The 17349-nt window shown below is 40.1% G+C and overlaps 1 protein-coding gene across 1 annotated transcript, besides 1 other annotated feature; it reads right to left on the bottom strand.

Annotated features, from left to right (window-relative positions):
- Nucleotides 1-14053: 14053 nt before the first annotated feature.
- On the bottom strand, nt 14054-16179 carry CRIPTO3 (cripto, EGF-CFC family member 3). Its single transcript, NM_001397362.1, has one exon. It carries the CDS (start codon nt 15943-15945, stop codon nt 15379-15381), a length of 567 nt encoding a protein of 188 aa, NP_001384291.1. The 5' UTR covers nt 15946-16179; the 3' UTR covers nt 14054-15378.
- Nucleotides 16107-17103: an enhancer, noted in NCBI's record as "OCT4-NANOG-H3K27ac-H3K4me1 hESC enhancer chrX:109763200-109764196 (GRCh37/hg19 assembly coordinates)". NCBI's record gives its function as "activates a minimal SCP1, AML or CMV promoter by ChIP-STARR-seq in naive H9 embryonic stem cells {active_cell/tissue: H9 hESC(naive)}" and the evidence as "EXISTENCE:reporter gene assay evidence [ECO:0000049][PMID:30033119]".

The following is a 17349-nucleotide window of genomic DNA, read 5'->3' as shown; positions in this document are numbered from 1 at the left end:
TGGACTGGTTTACATCATTTACTTTGCCTTCCCATCCTGTTAGCCTCCCTTCAAGTGCTTATCAGAAATTCTTTAGTATGGGGGCTTCTACTATTGCGTAAAAAAAACGAGGAACTTGACTATACTAATTTAGGCTCTTCACAAAGATTAGGAGCCTCTCCTTTCTTGTTCTTGAACTTGAACAACAATCTGTTTCCTGGAAATCATTAAAACTGTTGTTGAGTCAGAGCCACAGCTCTTGAAAATGTCTTCTTGAGAACTGTGGGTGGGTAGGGGTCACAGAGGCAGTGATGATTAAACTCAGTTATTCCAATTTCAGGATTAGCTTGAGTGGCTGACTGAGCCCCCCATCCTAGAGATAATACTGTCTTATCGAGCTGCCCTTAAAAGGATTCATGTGTGTGCAAAATCCGTCATTCTCCTTTAGCGACATACTGGAATTATGGACCCTCTGATGACTCAGAAGGGGCTTTCAAAGCAGAGTAGGAAAAGCTACTTCATGCAATTATTTTCCCCAAATGATTAAATTAAGCTTATTTCTCTGTTGATGGAATTTTCTTCATTTTTTCAAATAAACAACCGCAGGATTTTTTTTCCTCTAGTTTGCTGAATAGTATACTTACAGACAAAGGAGATGTTTGACATAAACACTTTGGTAGCAGAATTTACAGTGTTTATTAGATTTCCCTTTGTTTTCTTGATTAATCCAAATAAACATTTCCCTCCTCTTTTAAAGGAAAAAAGTATTTGGGGCCAACTCTTTGAGATCATTTCTCTCTGGCTTTCGCTCTTGCCCTTGCTCTCACTCTTGCTCTTGTTCTCTCTCACTCTCTGTTTCTTTGTAACCCATGACCCCACCCTCTGTATCTCACATGTATCTCTTTCTTCACAAGCTCTCCTCCCTAACTCAGTTTTATTCTTTTACTTTCACATAAAAATTTCAAAGAAAGACATGTGTCCCAGCTTCTTTAGTTTTTATTCCCCCAAAAATGGCTTCAATGACTATGTCTCATAGTATTTTGCTCAGTGGACTCGAGTTTTGCACTTACCTCCCTTCCCCTTAAAAGCTATGACCCCCACCGCGGATCACGAAGTCAGGAGATCGAGACCATCCTGGCTAACACGGTGAAACCCCGTCTCTACTAAAATACAAAAAATTAGCTGGGCATGATGGCAGGAGCCTATGGTCCCAGCTACTCGGGAGGCTGAGGCAGGAGAATGGCGTGAACCCGGGAGGCGGAGCTTGCAGTGAGCCGAGATCGCGCCACTGCACTCCAGGATGGGCAACAGAGCAAGACTCTTGTCTCAAAAGAAAAAAAAAGTTATGACCCCCACCAGTCCATGGGCAGTCGGAGGCCATTTCACCCTCAAGGTATCAGAGAAGGGGCTCACTTCTTGACTTCCCTCCAGTGAGTCCAAAGCCCGAGGGGTTTCTTTTATTTGGTTTCCTAGGCTCATTTATACTATCTGCTCATTTTCCATCTCTGTCTGAGAACCTTAGTCAATTGAACAAGCTCTCATATGTTCATCTAAAGCAGAAGTAAAGAAAAAAAAAAGTAAAATAAACCACTGCCTCCAGTTGTCTGTGATCCAAATTCTGTGGAGGTAAAAGAACCCCTTTCTGGAAAAATAATTGGGCCAGCCAAGGGCTGCCATTTAGTACTGGCAAAGTGGACAGCTGCCCCCTGAGGACTAATAACCAACTTCCCTACTTACTCAGATTCAGACCTTTAGATCTCTTTCTGTCCCAATCACAGGGGCTGACAGGGGAGGTATAAGGAAGAGTAGAGGCACATTGGCTGTCATCTTCCTAGACAGGGAAATTACCTGAGCAGGTGCAGCCATAGGAAGTAGGAGAGAGAGCTGAGGGGTACAGTGTCCCAGGCCCTTGTAGGCAGTGGATGAAAAATCACACTGCAGCAAGAGGAAGGCCTCAGGAGACTGAACTGAGGTTTCTCTAAGCTAACAGTAGCAATATTGCAAACTTGCTTTTGGCTTACTGTAGCCAAGGTCTAACCCCAAATCTTGTGTTTTCCTTGGCTAAATAATGTTCCCTGTCATGTCCAGGTGATTCCCCAGGCCTCTTCAGAAGTATTTCTGTGTCCTGGCCATCCGACCTGCTGCATTTTTTTTTTTTTTTTGAGACAAGGTCTCACTCTGTCACCCAGGCTGGAGTGCAGTGGCACAATCATAACCTTTAAATTCTGTAACCTTTAACTTCTGGCTGTAATCATATCAACCTTTAACTTCACTGTAACCTTTAACTTCTGAACTCAAGACATCCTCCTGCCTCAGACTCCCAAGAAGCTGAGACTACATATGCATGCCACCATGCCTGGCTAATTTTTAAAAATGCTTTGTAGAGACAGAGTCTCACTATGTTGCCCAGGCTGGTCTTGAACTCCTGGGCTCATGTGATCCTCCCACCCTGGCTTCCCAAAGTGCTTGGATTACAGGTAAGAGCCACCATGCCTGGCCTCCAAATTCTATTTCTCTCACAGAGAAGAATTCCATAAGGAATAGTAATGTGTGGTTGAGTGAACCTTTAGCTGGCAAGATATTCTGGATTCTGACAGCTGCAGGACAAGAACACATTTCTTGGCCACCAATAATGTATGTGTTTGTGGCTTCAGCAATGTATCTCCAAAAATATATATGCTGATTGGCTAAACCACAGAAGTTAGTTTGGCCTGGGCTGGACTGGACCAAGTTAGAGCAGAGGCAAGCATTGTGAGATATTCATAATACTGACGTTGGCTGGGATATAAGCATCTCCTCTACCTCATCACCTCCATCCCTCTAATTATAAAAAATAATGGGGCAGAAGGTAGCTAAGGACAGTGTAAAAACAAAAATTGCAGAAAGGAGATGGAATAAGATAAGCCTTTGCATAGAAAGAAGCTCAGAACTCTCTGGCTAGGCGGGAATTGGCAGTTAGGTTTCAAGAAGTCTGAGGAGCAGATAATTCTGGTGATTGGATAAAGTTAGGTCAAAGACCAAGGGATCAGGAGTGTTCTGGTGGTTAGAAAAGCCAGCCCAACCAGGGGCTACTTACTAGGGAATGAGTTGCCCTTAGGAGGTGTTACACCAAATTTTTTTCTGGAATAGGAACACCTCCTGCATACACCAATTGTAATAATGACCAATCAACATTTATTGAGCCCATGGTATGCACCCGTGCTTGATCAGGGTATAAGATACTAGACCATGAGTTCACAGACCAGTGGTGGAATTTCCATCACAATCCAAGGTGCTCACCACCTCCTGATTGCTGGGCTCTCTCTTGGGGATTCAGCAGTGAACAAAGCAGTGTGGCCTCTAGAGACAGCCTTGTTTACCAAAATCTTTTTCTTCTTTTTCCCAAGCACATGACTAGACTACATTCCCCAGCCTTTTTTTGAAGTTAGATGTGGTTATGTGATTGCGTTCCAGCAAACAGAAAAGAACAGAGGTGATGTGTGCCACTTATAGACCTTGCCCATAAAAACACCTAAGGTGCATGATCTTCTCTACTTTCTCCCATTAGTGGGCTAATGGAAGGGGACTTTGGAAGCCACATGTGAAAGATGCCAGCTCCCCATCACCTCGGTCCTAAATGACTTCACAGAGCGGAAAACATAACACTGCCACCTATCCTTGCTATCACCAACTATATGTGAGGGATTTTTCTCTTCCTGGAGCTAGCATTATCTTTTTAAGTGTAAGTTTTTAAAAGTTTTTTAATTGACAAATAATAATTGTAAATATTTATGGAGTACATAGTTGTGTTTTAATACATATAATGTATCATAATAAGATCAGGGTCATTAGTATATCCATCATCTTAAATATTTATCATTTCTTTGTTAGAAACATTCAATATCCTCCTTCTAGCTACTTGAAACTATATGACACATTATTGCTAACAATATCTTAACTCCAAAATCAGTGGTCCTTGCTCTCGTGGATCTTGCCATATAGTGGGTATAAAGTAGAGGAGTTTCTAGAGTCCTGTGGAAACATAAAGGAGAAAGCGATCAACTTGGCATAGGGCAATAGCAGAAGACTTCTCATAGACTGTAACATTTGAGATAAGTCTTAAAGGAGAAAAAGATTCCCCATAAAAGATAGTAAGTCAGGCTGAGGGCAGCATATGCAAGGGCTCCAAGATTAGAGAGCTCAGTGAGACTATGGCTGAAGAGCAGAAGGCAGTGGGGTTGAGGGAGGCCCATCAGTGTTCAAGCACTGATGAGAAATGAAAAACTGCCAGGCCACTGTGGGGATATATGCCTAAGTGACCCCAGGCATCAGTGTATTTAGAAACATCTGGAGGCTGGGTGGAGGCCAGCATGAGACAGTCTCTTTCATGATGTCAATCCAAGCCAATCCCCAGACAAGAAGACCAGGGGCCAAGAAATAAAGGCTGTGACCTCGGTTCTTGCTGTTGGTGAGTCTGGATTTTCTGACCCCTACCCTGTACCCTTTCCCTCAACACTCTCACCCCTATTTTTACTGGGAAAGGAGTTCAATTAGTGGTCTTTCCCTAACCACTCCCATTTACAGAGAATGTTCTTCTAGGCAACAATCCACAGGCTGTGCTCTGCAGCTGTAGCCTGTGAACACCTTCCAGGAGGCAGAATCCTAGGAGGCAAGAAGTCGAAGGAAAAGAGCAGCCACCTGCATGTCTTGTTGTGTCTGATTAATTTCAAACAAATATTTCAATGCTTCAGATGTTCCTGGACAGCTCTCCAACATCCTGCAATTAACCTAAATGGATATGCTCCATGCAGGAAGATGGAATGAAGGTGACTCCAATCTCAGGGATGAAAATAAATAAGTAAAACCATAGACTGAACTGGAAGGGAACTTTGAGATCACCCCAGTTGAAATGCCTTGTGTAACAGATGAGAAAACTGAGGTTCAGGAAGGGGTCATAGCTTGTCTTATGTCAGAGTGAGTCAGTAGCACAGACTGGGCCTCCAGGTCTCAATTCCCAGCCCAGTACTCTTTCCACTATACTAATCAAGCATCTAGACCGGTTGGAAGAAGCATGCTGAAAGCTACTGATGAAGGAAATAGTGGGTGGTTCCAAGGCAGGAAAGTTTAACATCCAGCCAAAATGTTACAGAAAAGAGTCAGTCACATGCTTTCTGTTTATAGTCTTTCCACTGGGCTGTGTGTGTCTGAGAACAACAGGCAGAGGAAAAATTAATTCAAGCCTGTGCCTGGTCTACTTTGTAGAGGAAGGAGACAGTCATCTCTCTGATATAACTTGAGGGGTGCTGATGAGCCTCTCCTGGCCCAGATGGTCTTCCCCATCAACCTACTATTTCAGGTATGCATTACCTCTCCTATAGGCTGCCTTTAAAAGAGCCTTGGAAAGAAAAAACTGAATGCTGTTTTCAGCGACTAAAATCTTGTGAATTAGGTCTTTATTTGATTTTCAGGGATTCTATAAGTCCACACTGAGGAAAGTAGCAAATGGTATAAGCCAGGAATCTGACCAATAGATCATGGAGTGCTTGGATTTCCTTAGAACTCTCCTGTCCATCTAGAGAAAGTGCCTGCTTTGGAGACTAACTGCAGTGAGAAAAGAGCGTAGAGACCTGGATGGGGCCTAGAAATCCAGACAGCCTCATACTGCAAGTCCCAGGGAGCTCTGCTTTGTGCACATTTCAGTTGTATTCACTGTCATCCTGAGGTCTCACTGACCACACCCTTGAATTCACCACACAAGGAGTCCTTTTTTCGCCTCTTCTTGCACCTGGATTCACCATGATCATTCCTACTTCTGATCCCTGATGTTAGTATAGTGGGTGATAGCTTATAAAATTCTCTCTCCCTGTATCTTACAAGGGAGGTAACACAGGTAATCTCGTGCTCATAATTTTACAAATAGGAAACCTGTGGCTCAGAGAGATTATGTGACTTTAACAAAGTCAAAAAAGAAATAGAAGTCATTGTCAAGTCAACCTGGAACCTAAGTGTTCTTTCTGTCTCCAAATCACATCTTCTTTCTCTACACCAGAATCTCCCAAAGTGTTCTTCACAGAGCACAAGTTTATTGAGAATTATATTGGCAGAAAGAGAGGTTTCATGATCTAATAAGCATTTGCTTCTTTTTCTAATCTCTTTGTGTTGATACACTAGGCACATCAGCATATCAGAGGATCCGAGAAGTAACCTGTATAATCTAGAGTGTTCAAAAGGTACTTATGAATAAAAAAACTCACATTAATCAGGCAGTTACTATGCCAGGCCCTATGCTAAGAATTTTACTTGCATTAGCTTATTCTATTCTCCACACAATCTTATGATCTTCATACTGTGTTTATCCCCATTTTACCAATAATGAAACTGAGGCTCTCAGAGATAAGGTGATTTTTCCAAGTTTGCACAGTAAGAACAAGACAAGAAGGGTTCCCAAAACCAGCAGACTATTATAATATTTAGCCACAGAAACTTTCTACCCATAAACTCTGTTTACATCCCTCAGAATTAGCCTCTTGCAAAGGCAATTTTGAGAAATACAGTCCCGCTTTCACCAACTTCTTACCTACAACCTTGACTTGTTCCTACTGCCTCATCTTTCAACACCCAGAGTCACCCATAAATGATGTTACTTTCAGCCACTGAGCAGTGAACCCACAGGCTGGAACATAAGACAGATATTTGGCTACTGGGGGAAACAAAAGGTAGGGAGAGCATGAGCACTGTGCCAGGAAAGTAGCCAAAGACTGAGGCCCTGAAAGATGAGACAGGAGGGCATCATCAATCAAACATGCCTGTTTCACAGTTTTGTTTGTTCTATATGTTCAGAGGCCAAATCAGAACAGAATTTCCAGTTGAATCTATCAAACCCATCTTCTCTCTACTCATCACAGTAACTGGGGTGATATATATCTACTGCAATGTCTGCTGCTGATTGCAATGCCAGGTGAATGGACCAAGGTTGATTGGTTCAATCGAAAGTAGTGATTGAAACTACTGTATAATGATCCCACCACTGGGCGTGGGCACACGCACACACACAAACACACAGAAATTCACAGTGCCAAGAAGACTGGCTGGTGAGGTGGATTCAGTCAAACAACTAGTCAATTTAGTGGATAGAAAAAAAGTAGTAAGTCAAAGTAAATGCCTGACTAAACTGGTCTGTCAATTCAACCCACTCACTCAGTCATCAGAAAAGCTCCAAAAGACACAGCTCAGTTGTCTTTGGGCATATGGAGAGAGATAATGAGGCATAGAACTCAGAGGGCAAAAGGTGAATTGCAACACAAAATATTTAAGTTAAATGTAAGAAAAAGCTTTTTGACACACTTATGAGTGAGAACAAGCTATACTTCTCTGTCTGTGCCTGCCTTGTTTCACTTAAGGTAATAACCTTCAGTTCCATCCATTTTGCTGCAAAAGACATAATTTTATTCTTTTTATGGCTGAAATAGTATTTCATTGCGTATATATACCACATTTTCTTTAATCAACAATTGATGGACACTTACTTTGATTCCATATTTTATCTGTTATGAATAGTATTACAATAAACATATGAGTGCAGGTGTCTTTTTAATATATTGATATCTTTCCTTTTGGATTGATACCCCGTGGGACTGCTGAATTCATTGGTAGTTCTATTTTTAGTTATTTGATAAATTTCCATACTGTTTTTCATAAAGGTTATACTAATTTACATTTCCACCAACAGTGTACAAAAAATTTCCTTTACTCTGCATCCTCACCAACATCTGTTGGGTTTGTTTTTTGTCTTTTTAATAATAGCTGTTCTGACTGGAGTAAGATAATATCTCATTGTGGTTTTGATTTGCATTTCTCTGGTGATTAGTGATGTTCAGCATTTTTTCATATATGCGTTGGTAATTTGTCTTCTTCTGAAAAATATCTGTTCATGTCCTTTGCCCACTTTTAAATGGGATTATCTCTGTGGTTTTTGTTGTTGTTGTTGAGTTGTTTGAGTTCCTTGTATATTCTGGATATTAATCTCCTGTTGAATGAATAGTTTGCAAATATTTTCTCAAATTCTGCAGGCTGTCTGTTCATTCTGTTGATAATTTCCTTTGCTGTGCAGAAGCTTCTTAGTTTAACAAAGTCTCATTTGTCTATTTTTTTGTTTCTGTTGCCTGTGCTTTTGAGGTTCTTTGCCAAGACCAATGTCCAGAAGAGTTTTCCCTAGGTTTTCTTCTAGTTTTTTATGGTTTTGAGTCTTATGTTTAAGTCTTTAGTCCATCTTGTGTTCATTTTTGTACATGGTAAGAGGTAGGGTTCCACCTTCATTGTTCTGCATATGGCAATATAATATTCCCAGCACCATTTATTGAAGAGAGTGTCCTTTTCCCAGTATATGCTTTTGATGGCTTTGTCAAAGATCAATGGCCTGTAAATATATGGCTTTATTTCTGGGTTCTCTGTCCTGTTCCATTGATCTATGTGTCTTTTTATACCAGTACCATGCTGTTTTGGTTACTACAGCCTTGTAATATAATTTGAAGTCAGGTAATGTGATGCCTCCAGCTTTATTCTTTTTACTCAGGATTGCTTTGGTTATTTGGGCTTTTTTTTTGGTTGCATATGAATTTTAGAATTAGTTTTTCTAATTCAATGAAAAGTTAACATTGGTATTTTTATAGGGATTACATTACATGTGTAGATTGCTTTAGACAGTGTGGTCATTTTAACAAAAATAATAAAGCAAAGTTAGGATCAGTGTCTTGACTTTTAGGCATGTTGAGATGATCTCTTTTTTTTTTTTTTTTTTTTTTGGATCTCAGCTCACTGAGCTGCAAACTCCGCCTCCTGGGTTCACACCATTCTCCTGCCTCAGCCTCCCGAGTAGCTGGGACTACAGGCACCCACCACCACACCCGGCTAATTTTTTGTATTTTTCACAGAGACGGGGTTTCACCATGTTGGCCAGGATGGTCTCAATCTCCTGGCCTCATGATCCACCTGCCTCGGCCTCCCAAAGTGCTGGGATTACAGGTGTGAGCCACCGCGCCCAGCCTGAGATGATGTCTTTCTAACAAAGCCATTCTGGATCCTGATAAAGCTGTCTTCTTGCTGCCAGACAAGTCTGGCTGATCCTCATATCGATCAGATATTAACCAAATATTAATTGATACTAGTTAGATATTAATCCAATCTATAAGCACGGAATTTTTTTCCATTTGTTTGCATCATCTCTGATTTCTTTAATCAGTATTGTGTAGTTTTCCTTGTAGACATCTCTCAACTCCTTGGTTAAATTTATTCCTAGACATTTTTTGGGTAGCTGTTGTAAATGAGATTGCCTCCTAGATTTCTTTCTCAGCTAGATCGTTATTGGTGTATAACACTACTAAATTTTGTACATTGATTTTGCATCCTGCAACTTCAATGAATTTGTTTATTAAATATAAGTTTTTTTGGTGGAATCTTTAGGTTTTTCTAGATATAAAATTGTATCATTGACAAACAAGGATAATTTGACTTCCTCTTTTCCAATTTGAATGCCTTTTATTTATTTCTCTTACCTAATTATTCTGGCTAGGAATAGAAGTGATGAAAGTGGGCATCCTTGTCCTGTTCCAGTTATTAGAGGAAAGGCTTTCAACATTTCCCCATTCAGTATAATGTTAGCTGTGCATTTCTTGTATATGGTCTTTATTATTTTGAGGTACATTCATTCTGTACCTAGTTTGTTGAGAGTTTTTATTATGAAGTTATATTGAATTTTATCAAATTTTTTTTGCATCTATTGAAACGATCATATGATTTTTGTCCTTGGTTCTGTTTATATAATGTATCACATAACTGATTTGCATATGTTGAACCATCCTTGCATTCTTGGTATAAAACCCACCTGATCAAGGTGTATTATCTTTTTGATATGCTGTTGGTTTCAGTTAGCTAGTATTTTGTTAAGAAATTTTGCATCTATGTTCATCAGAGATATTTCCTTTTGTTGTTATGTCCTATCCTGGTTTTGGTATTAGCATGATATTGGCTTCATAAAATGATTTAAGGAGGATTCCCTCTTTCTCCATCTTGTGGAATAGTGTCAAAAGGATTGGTACCAATTCTTCTTTGAATGTCTGGTAGAGTTCAGCTCTGAATCTGTCTGGTCCTGGACTTTTTCATTGGTAATATTTTTATTACCATTTCAATCTTGCTGCTTGTTATTGGTCTGTTCAGGGTTTCTAATTCTTTCTGATTTAAGCTAGCAGGGTTGTATCTTTCCAGGAATTTATCCATCTCCTCCAGGTTTTCTAGGGATGTTTGGGATACTATATGAGGAACAGCCAGCTCTGCCTGGCAGCAAGAAGAAGACAGCTGTTTCTGATTCAGGGATAGCTTTGTCAAAAAGAGACCATCTCAAGGTGTCTAAAGGTCAAATCACTGATCCTGACTTTGCTTTGTTATTTTTGTTAGGATGTAGAAAGTATGAGATATAAGAAGCCCCCTTTATTTTAAAAAAGAGGGTGAGAAGAGCCACATGAAAAAAAAACCACAATCTTCCTTTTTTATTTTTCTAAACAAAAAAGGTGAAAAATTTTTAAGTTGCTAAAATTACTATGTCATGGTTACTTGTTAGATAATTTCACTAATGCAATTAGAAATAAAAGCAAAGCACTTGATATTGCAACTAGGCCAAGGCGATAAGAGAATGGAAGTTGCTTAAGTTGCTTGACGTATGCAGATGGAATGGTGTGTCAGCTTTTTAACATCTGATGTGTGTGAGAAATATTCTCTATCCAAGATCTTTTGACAAGATCATGGTACTTCAGATGACTACAGTTCTAAAGCTGGGTGCACACAATCACCAACCATAGTGATATATATTTATACATTTCTCTCTTTGAGCTATTTCTTTATTAAAATGGTTCATCTGCTCATAACTGTTATACCTGTGGACTGTCATCGTATACCTGAGTGTTCATGCTTGCAAAAATATGTATGTTGTTATGCCTATTTTGTTGTATGAAGTGGCCTATGAGGTATTCTATCATGTTTGTATGTTTCTCAATAAATCTCTCTTTTTAAAATGTAAGTAAATATCTTTTAAAGTATATCAACTTATTTTTTCTAGAATTATATTTTCAGGATTTTGATTTTTGGAATTCTAGAATTCAAGAATTTTTAACTTTTTGGATTTCAACATTTAGGATTATGGTGTTTGGGATTGTGTCTTTCAAGATTATGATCACCTCCCTCGGAAAAGTACTACCTAAGAGAGCAGCAATTAAAATTTTTCACCTGTGCTGAATGGTAAAAAAGGAACCAGCTACATTCTGCCAGCAGTAAGTCAGTTGGCACCAGCTTTATCTGTGAAGAATGAGACACCATCCACCCCTAAAATAAAGCAAACCAAAAACAAACAATGACTTGGAATCCACGGTTGACATGGAAAATTTTTTGTTTATCGAATGCATCAGGGGATCTACACTTGGGGAGCTCATTAATTTAATTGGATTTACAGCTCCATTCTCGCAGGGCTCATTTTGCCATTCTGAAACAAGAATGGAGGAAATAGCCAACATGTACCAGTTATCTGTTGCTGTGTTACAAAGCACCCCCAAATTTAGTGATTTAAAACAACCACCAGTTATTTGGCTCATCGTTCTGTGGTCACCCAGGGCCAGGATTAGAGTGAGCTGAAGTGAGCTTCCTAGGGCACAAAACTGAAGGAGGCATTTACTCTTAGGGTCATGCTGGCAACCCTGTACTTGCATGACCCTCAAAGTGAGTGCCTCTTCTCATTTTTTGCTTTGAATGCCTCACTTGTCTCACCGTAGTCCCAGCCCTGATGGTTCTTCTGGTCTAAGCCAGGTGGAGTAATCACTGCTGGAGTCTCTTTTTCTCTTTTCTCTTGAAAGAAATTTATTTTTTCACCCTGAAAAATCTTTTTTTGCTTGCTTTTTCCAAGTAATTTTAGCCCTACTCACTCTATGTGTTTTGCAGGCCATACAAAGACTCTATTTGCCTATGGGTTATTTGTAATACAGTTGACCCTTGAACAACACAGGTGCTGACCTCCACCCACAAGCAGTGAAAGACTTGTGTATAACTTTTGACTCCCCAAAAGCTTAACTTCTAATAGCCTACTGTTGACTGGAAGCCTTACCAATAATATAAACAGTTGATTAACATATATTTTGTATGTTATACCTAGTATATACTGTATCCTTATAATAAAGTAAGCTGGAAAAGAGATTGCTATTAAGAAAATCATAAGGAAGATAAAATATATTTACTATTCATTAAGTGGAAGTTGCTCATCATAAAGGTCTTCATCTTTATCATGTTCATGCTGAGTAGGCTGAGGAAAAGGAGGAGTTGGTCTTAATATCTCAGGGGTGGCAGAGGCAGAAGACAACTTGTGTATGAGTAAACCTACTCAGTTCAAACTCGTGTTATCCAATGGTCGACTGTATTCTGATTTTTAACAATTTCATTTTCTTTTATAAGTGAAGTGAGTTATAAACCCAGTTGAAATGATAGAAATTAGGCAGTACTTTAGAGTGTCTATTTGATTTATTTGTTAAAAGAATTGGTACAGTTTAAACTACAATGTAATCTACCCCATGTCTGGAGGAACATTGGAACTACTTGACAGTTCTTTCATGTTCACATATCCTCCTGGAAAAAGTAATGATTTTATAATAAAGCCCTTATGCAAACACAATGTATCCTGAAAAATATTAATGATATTTTTATAATTGGTCAAATGGGGGAAAATCTCTATTGGTATTAATTAGATATATTGATGTTATTCACTCCACTGCTAAAAAAAGGTAACACTACAAAGACTTCATATCCAAGTTTTAAAGGAACTTTATGTTATAGACTATTAATTTTCCCTAGGAATCAACAGATGAATAATTTGAAAATGGACACTATAGTGGTGCATATATAAAAAGAAAACTATAAAGCACTTTAAAATATCAACTCTGAGTTTTATGGGTCATTAGCTCTCCAATTCCATTGGGTTCTTTTATGCTGTTGTAGTCAGCTTGCCAGTCAGCTAGCAGAGATGACCAAGGATAGCCTCACTCACTTATCCAGCATTTCTTAGGCTATTGGCGGAAGCAGTAGGGGTGACTGGACCACAGATCTCTCTTTATTCAGCAGGTTATCACGGGCTTCTTCACTTGTGTCCTTCACAGGATTCCTATAAACAATGAAAGAGAACAAGTCCCAACGTGTAAATAATTTTCAAATGTCTGTTTGCATTACATGTTCTGTAGTCCCATGGTCAAGGAAAGTCACATAGCCAAACCCAGATTCAGTGGGGATAGGGACTATACAAGGACATGGAGCAGGGAAATATGAACAAATTTGTAGTCGTTGCTATACCAATCTACTACAAGGCCCAAAGGTGAATTACAAAAATAGAAAAGAATGGCTGTGGTGAATGCATCAACCGAATAAAGAACTAAATTTTAATCAAGAGAGGAACAGAGAAGAATTTTCTCCAGACTGCATCAGCCACACAAGAAGGAACTTCCTCACTGAAGAAATGAAGTTGGATTGATGTTGCATATATATCCCTCAGAGGTTCACACATGGATTTTCAAAGAACCTGTCTCATGTGTGAATTTTTCCCTAAATAACTACCTGGCCAGAACCCTGAGAAGGACATCTCCAACACTCCCACAGGGCATACATCACAGAAGGGCTTAGGGATTCTACCTATTGCAATTCCTCCTCTCCACTAGGTTGAGAATCCTTGTTTTAGAGGAAAAGCAACCTTAACTCGTACCACTAAATATATAAATACCATTTCACCATTGGATGTAAGGACTACTTCTGTTTGAAACTCAACCGCTCTCCAAATCTGCATCCAGTTGCATAAACAAAGGGACTTACCTTTTTCTTAATTGGTTCCAGGTAGAATTTGACATATAAACCAATAAAAGAAATATCTAAATATTTTCTCCTCCTTCTAACCTCATCTCCTATTTAGTTAATTCCTATTTAACTCCTAATTTCCTATTTAACTCCCATATCTATCTGGAATTTGGAACCAGATACAGTGAATCACATTGCCCCAAATGTGTCTTCAAGCAACTCTATGGCTATTTTGATGGTGATAAAAGATGTTTTATCCCTTCTTTGGAACTCTGAAGAGCAGAGTTCTGAAGAGCATGTTCCTTGCCTGCTAGGTGTTTTCTTTTTTTTTTTTTTTTTAGGTCAATATAGTTTCCATTTTTACTGTGCATACACGTATATACAATGTATTTTAAAAATGGGCTTTACAATATGTAGTTTGATCACTTGGTTTACAACTAAATATATTGTGAACATTTTCTCTTCTACAACAGTTAAAAGAATTGAATAGCTTGGAGGAAACACAATTTATTAAGCAATCTTGTTGGGGACATTGAGGTATAATTTTTTTTCTAAGGAGACTTCATTCTTTTTACAATGCCTTTGGGAAAAAAAGGGGAGTCCTTGTCTTACATAGCTTTCTATAGATGATGGAAACTTGCCCTTCCATTTAGCCTTTTTACTTGCTTCTCTACCACCACCTAATCACCAATCAAGTAACCCATTTTGTTTTTCAACCTCTCTCTTCTATTTGCTTCCTCTTTCCTACCCAGTCTCCCTGCACACACGCAGATGGACTTCCATTCCTTCAGCACTCTGGTTCCTCCCCTTAAAGATGTTTTCTTTCCTTTTAAAAGAGACTATTTTAATTGATTTTGATCAACTCTACTCAAAACTGTATTCTAAGGTCCACATTAGAATTAGTCTTTAATAATCTGAAGATGTAATTCAATCATTTAAAAGAACATATTAAGAAGACCTTGGTAGAATTACATGTACCAAGAAACACCAGGCCTTGCACAGTTGCTCACGTGTGTAATCTCAGCACTTCGAGAGGCCGAGGCGAGTGGATCACAAGGTCAGGAGTTCGAGACCAGGCTGGCCAATATGGTGAAACCCCCGTCTCTACTAAAAATACAAAAAAAATTAGCCGGGCATGGTGACACATGCCTGTAATCCCAGCTACTTGGGAGGCTGAGGCAGGAGAATGGCTTGAACCCCGGATGCGGAGGTTGCAGTGAACCGAGATCGCGTCATTGCAGTCCAGCCTGGGTGACAGAGTGAGACTCCGTCTCAAAAAAAAAAAAGAAACACTGGACTTGGGCACAATGGAGATATGGCTGACTTTCTTTTGAAAAAAGAAGTAGTTTTTTGGGAGAGGGCAGGGCAAAGAGGTAAGAAGTAGTTAGTTCTGTAAGGAAATGTTAGAGACCGTTTTGGAAATGTATTCATTATTTTAAGGCAACTAACAAATGATCATCTTTCAGTTAGGACATTGTAGCAGCAGCCTTTACGGGTCATGAAATTTGCATAATATCTAAAATTGTATTTCTGGAAATAGGTCAATGTCGATTAATAGTAGCTTTGTATAGAAAGGCAGATGCCAGCTAGCATAAAAGTGGTAGTACGTGCAGACGGTGGTAGTTCTGGAGTCCTGGAAGCCACGAGGTGCTCATCCATCACAAGGCCATCACAGCCGGGTAGAAATGCCTGAGGAAAGCAGCGGAGCTGACCGTGCCAGCATTTACACAGGGAACACTTCTTGGGCAGCCAGGTGTCATGGGGCACAGACCCACAGTTCTCTTTGCGCACATCGTGCTCACAGTTCCGTCCGTAGAAGGAGGGAGGGCAGGCACAAAAGGACTCCAGCATGCAGGTTCCCCCATTCAGGCAGCAGGTTCTGTTTAGCTCCTTACTGTGCTGTATTCCCATGGGCAGCACACGCTGGGAAGACCGAGGCCGAATTGCAGGCTCCTCCTGGGGCCAAATGCTGTCATCTCTGAAGGCCAGGTCTCCCCGAGATGGACGAGCAAATTCCTGATGGCCCAGCCCGGCAACTAATCCCAGTTCAAAGGCTTTAGAAATGGCCATGATCCAAATCACACTGTAAGAGAAGCGGACCATCTTCCTGCAGTCCATAGCTTTTAACAATTAGGGGGAAAAGAGGCGTTAGCATCGCTTTAATTCAGAGTCATTGCCAAAACAGCCAAAGGAAAACATTCATCTCCTAAAGCGAAAATGGCAATTTAAGAAGAAAATGAGAAATTCGCGTTCCCCAGAAGGTCGTAGCAGAAGCAGGAGCAAGGTGTCCAGGGGAAACTGGAGGGCTTTCGGCCTTGGACGTTTTGACCTTGAGCTGGAGACTCAGCCTTTCCGGGGATTCTCCTTCTTCAACAACAAACCCCAGTCGGGGCGGGGAGACCTTTCAGGTGGGCGGGACGCCCACCAGCATGACAATGGCCCACACGCGGGGAGAGGAGTCTTGTAAAACTGTGGTTAACTAGCCCTAATATCTCTATCATTAGTTGCAGGCTAAAATGATCAGATGTACTCTTTTGGGAAAAAAAAAAAGAAAAAAGAAAAATCAGTTTCTCTAACCAAGTTGGTGATTCCAGGTTGGAGGGGTGGTGGAAAGTAATTGCTTTAATTAGGAAAACCTGAAAATGTATGGGTCTCAAGGCATTCGATATTTTATTTTATTTCAGGAAGTTTTACTTCCTGAAATTTGCTTCCACCTTTGTTTCTCCAAAAGGGTGTTTTGAGCCCCGTACTCCCCCTGGGGGATACCCGGGTGGCCAAGAAAGGGGTGCTCTCCGCCTGAGGAGCTAGGTGTGTGTGTCGCCTGCTAGGTATTTTCAATCAAACATTGACAACATTGTTATATGTAAACGGGCAGACAAAGGAACAATTGGATTGCTATAGAATCAGTCACTTTACCTTACATGGCGCGCAAGCTTATCCCAAAACAAATCACTTGGAGCAATTGTCAAAGACATCAAGGGTTTATTCTGAAAGTGTCAGCAGTTTCAGTCACTCATTCTTCCCTGGAAATTATTCCAGATGAAGAGGATCTGAGCAGTTCATTTTCACGTGGTAGAACCAGAAAGCACATTATTCACTGGCGAGATGAGCTGACTGTATTTTATCCATCAACAGTTATTCCCCAGGCAGATTATCAGAATGCAGCTGTTGAAGTAATCATGGAAAAATGTATTCCCACACATGTAAGATAGGTCATCTTCAGATGAAAGACCTTGCAACTGAGGCAGGGCTTATTTGAGAATAAGCACTCAGAGCCCCGTTTTAAGAAAGCTCCTATATTGTTTGCTTAACAAAGGATCTGAAGTGGTAATGGGGGCACCAGGGAAAAAGTTACCCCAGACATTACGGCACATACAGCTTGCCAAAGAGATGGATCAATTCCACCTATTTTAGAGAATGAAATAGTGGGTATTTTCCTGCCATTATGTAGTAGCAACTTTTCCCTTTCACCAAATTTTGACTGTAAATGAGAAAGAAATAGGCCCTTTCGAAACTGAAGGC

Source organism: Homo sapiens, chromosome X, assembly GCF_000001405.40.
Source record: "Homo sapiens chromosome X, GRCh38.p14 Primary Assembly".
NCBI lineage: Eukaryota > Metazoa > Chordata > Mammalia > Primates > Hominidae > Homo > Homo sapiens.
The sequence above is the reverse complement of the archived record's forward strand: the minus strand, read 5'-3'. Positions and strand labels throughout refer to the sequence as shown.

What these genes read in the sequence shown, in the direction of transcription:
- CRIPTO3 (NM_001397362.1), bottom strand. Translation starts at nt 15,945, where the DNA reads ATGGACTGCAGGAAGATGGTCCGCTTCTCTTACAGTGTGATTTGGATC.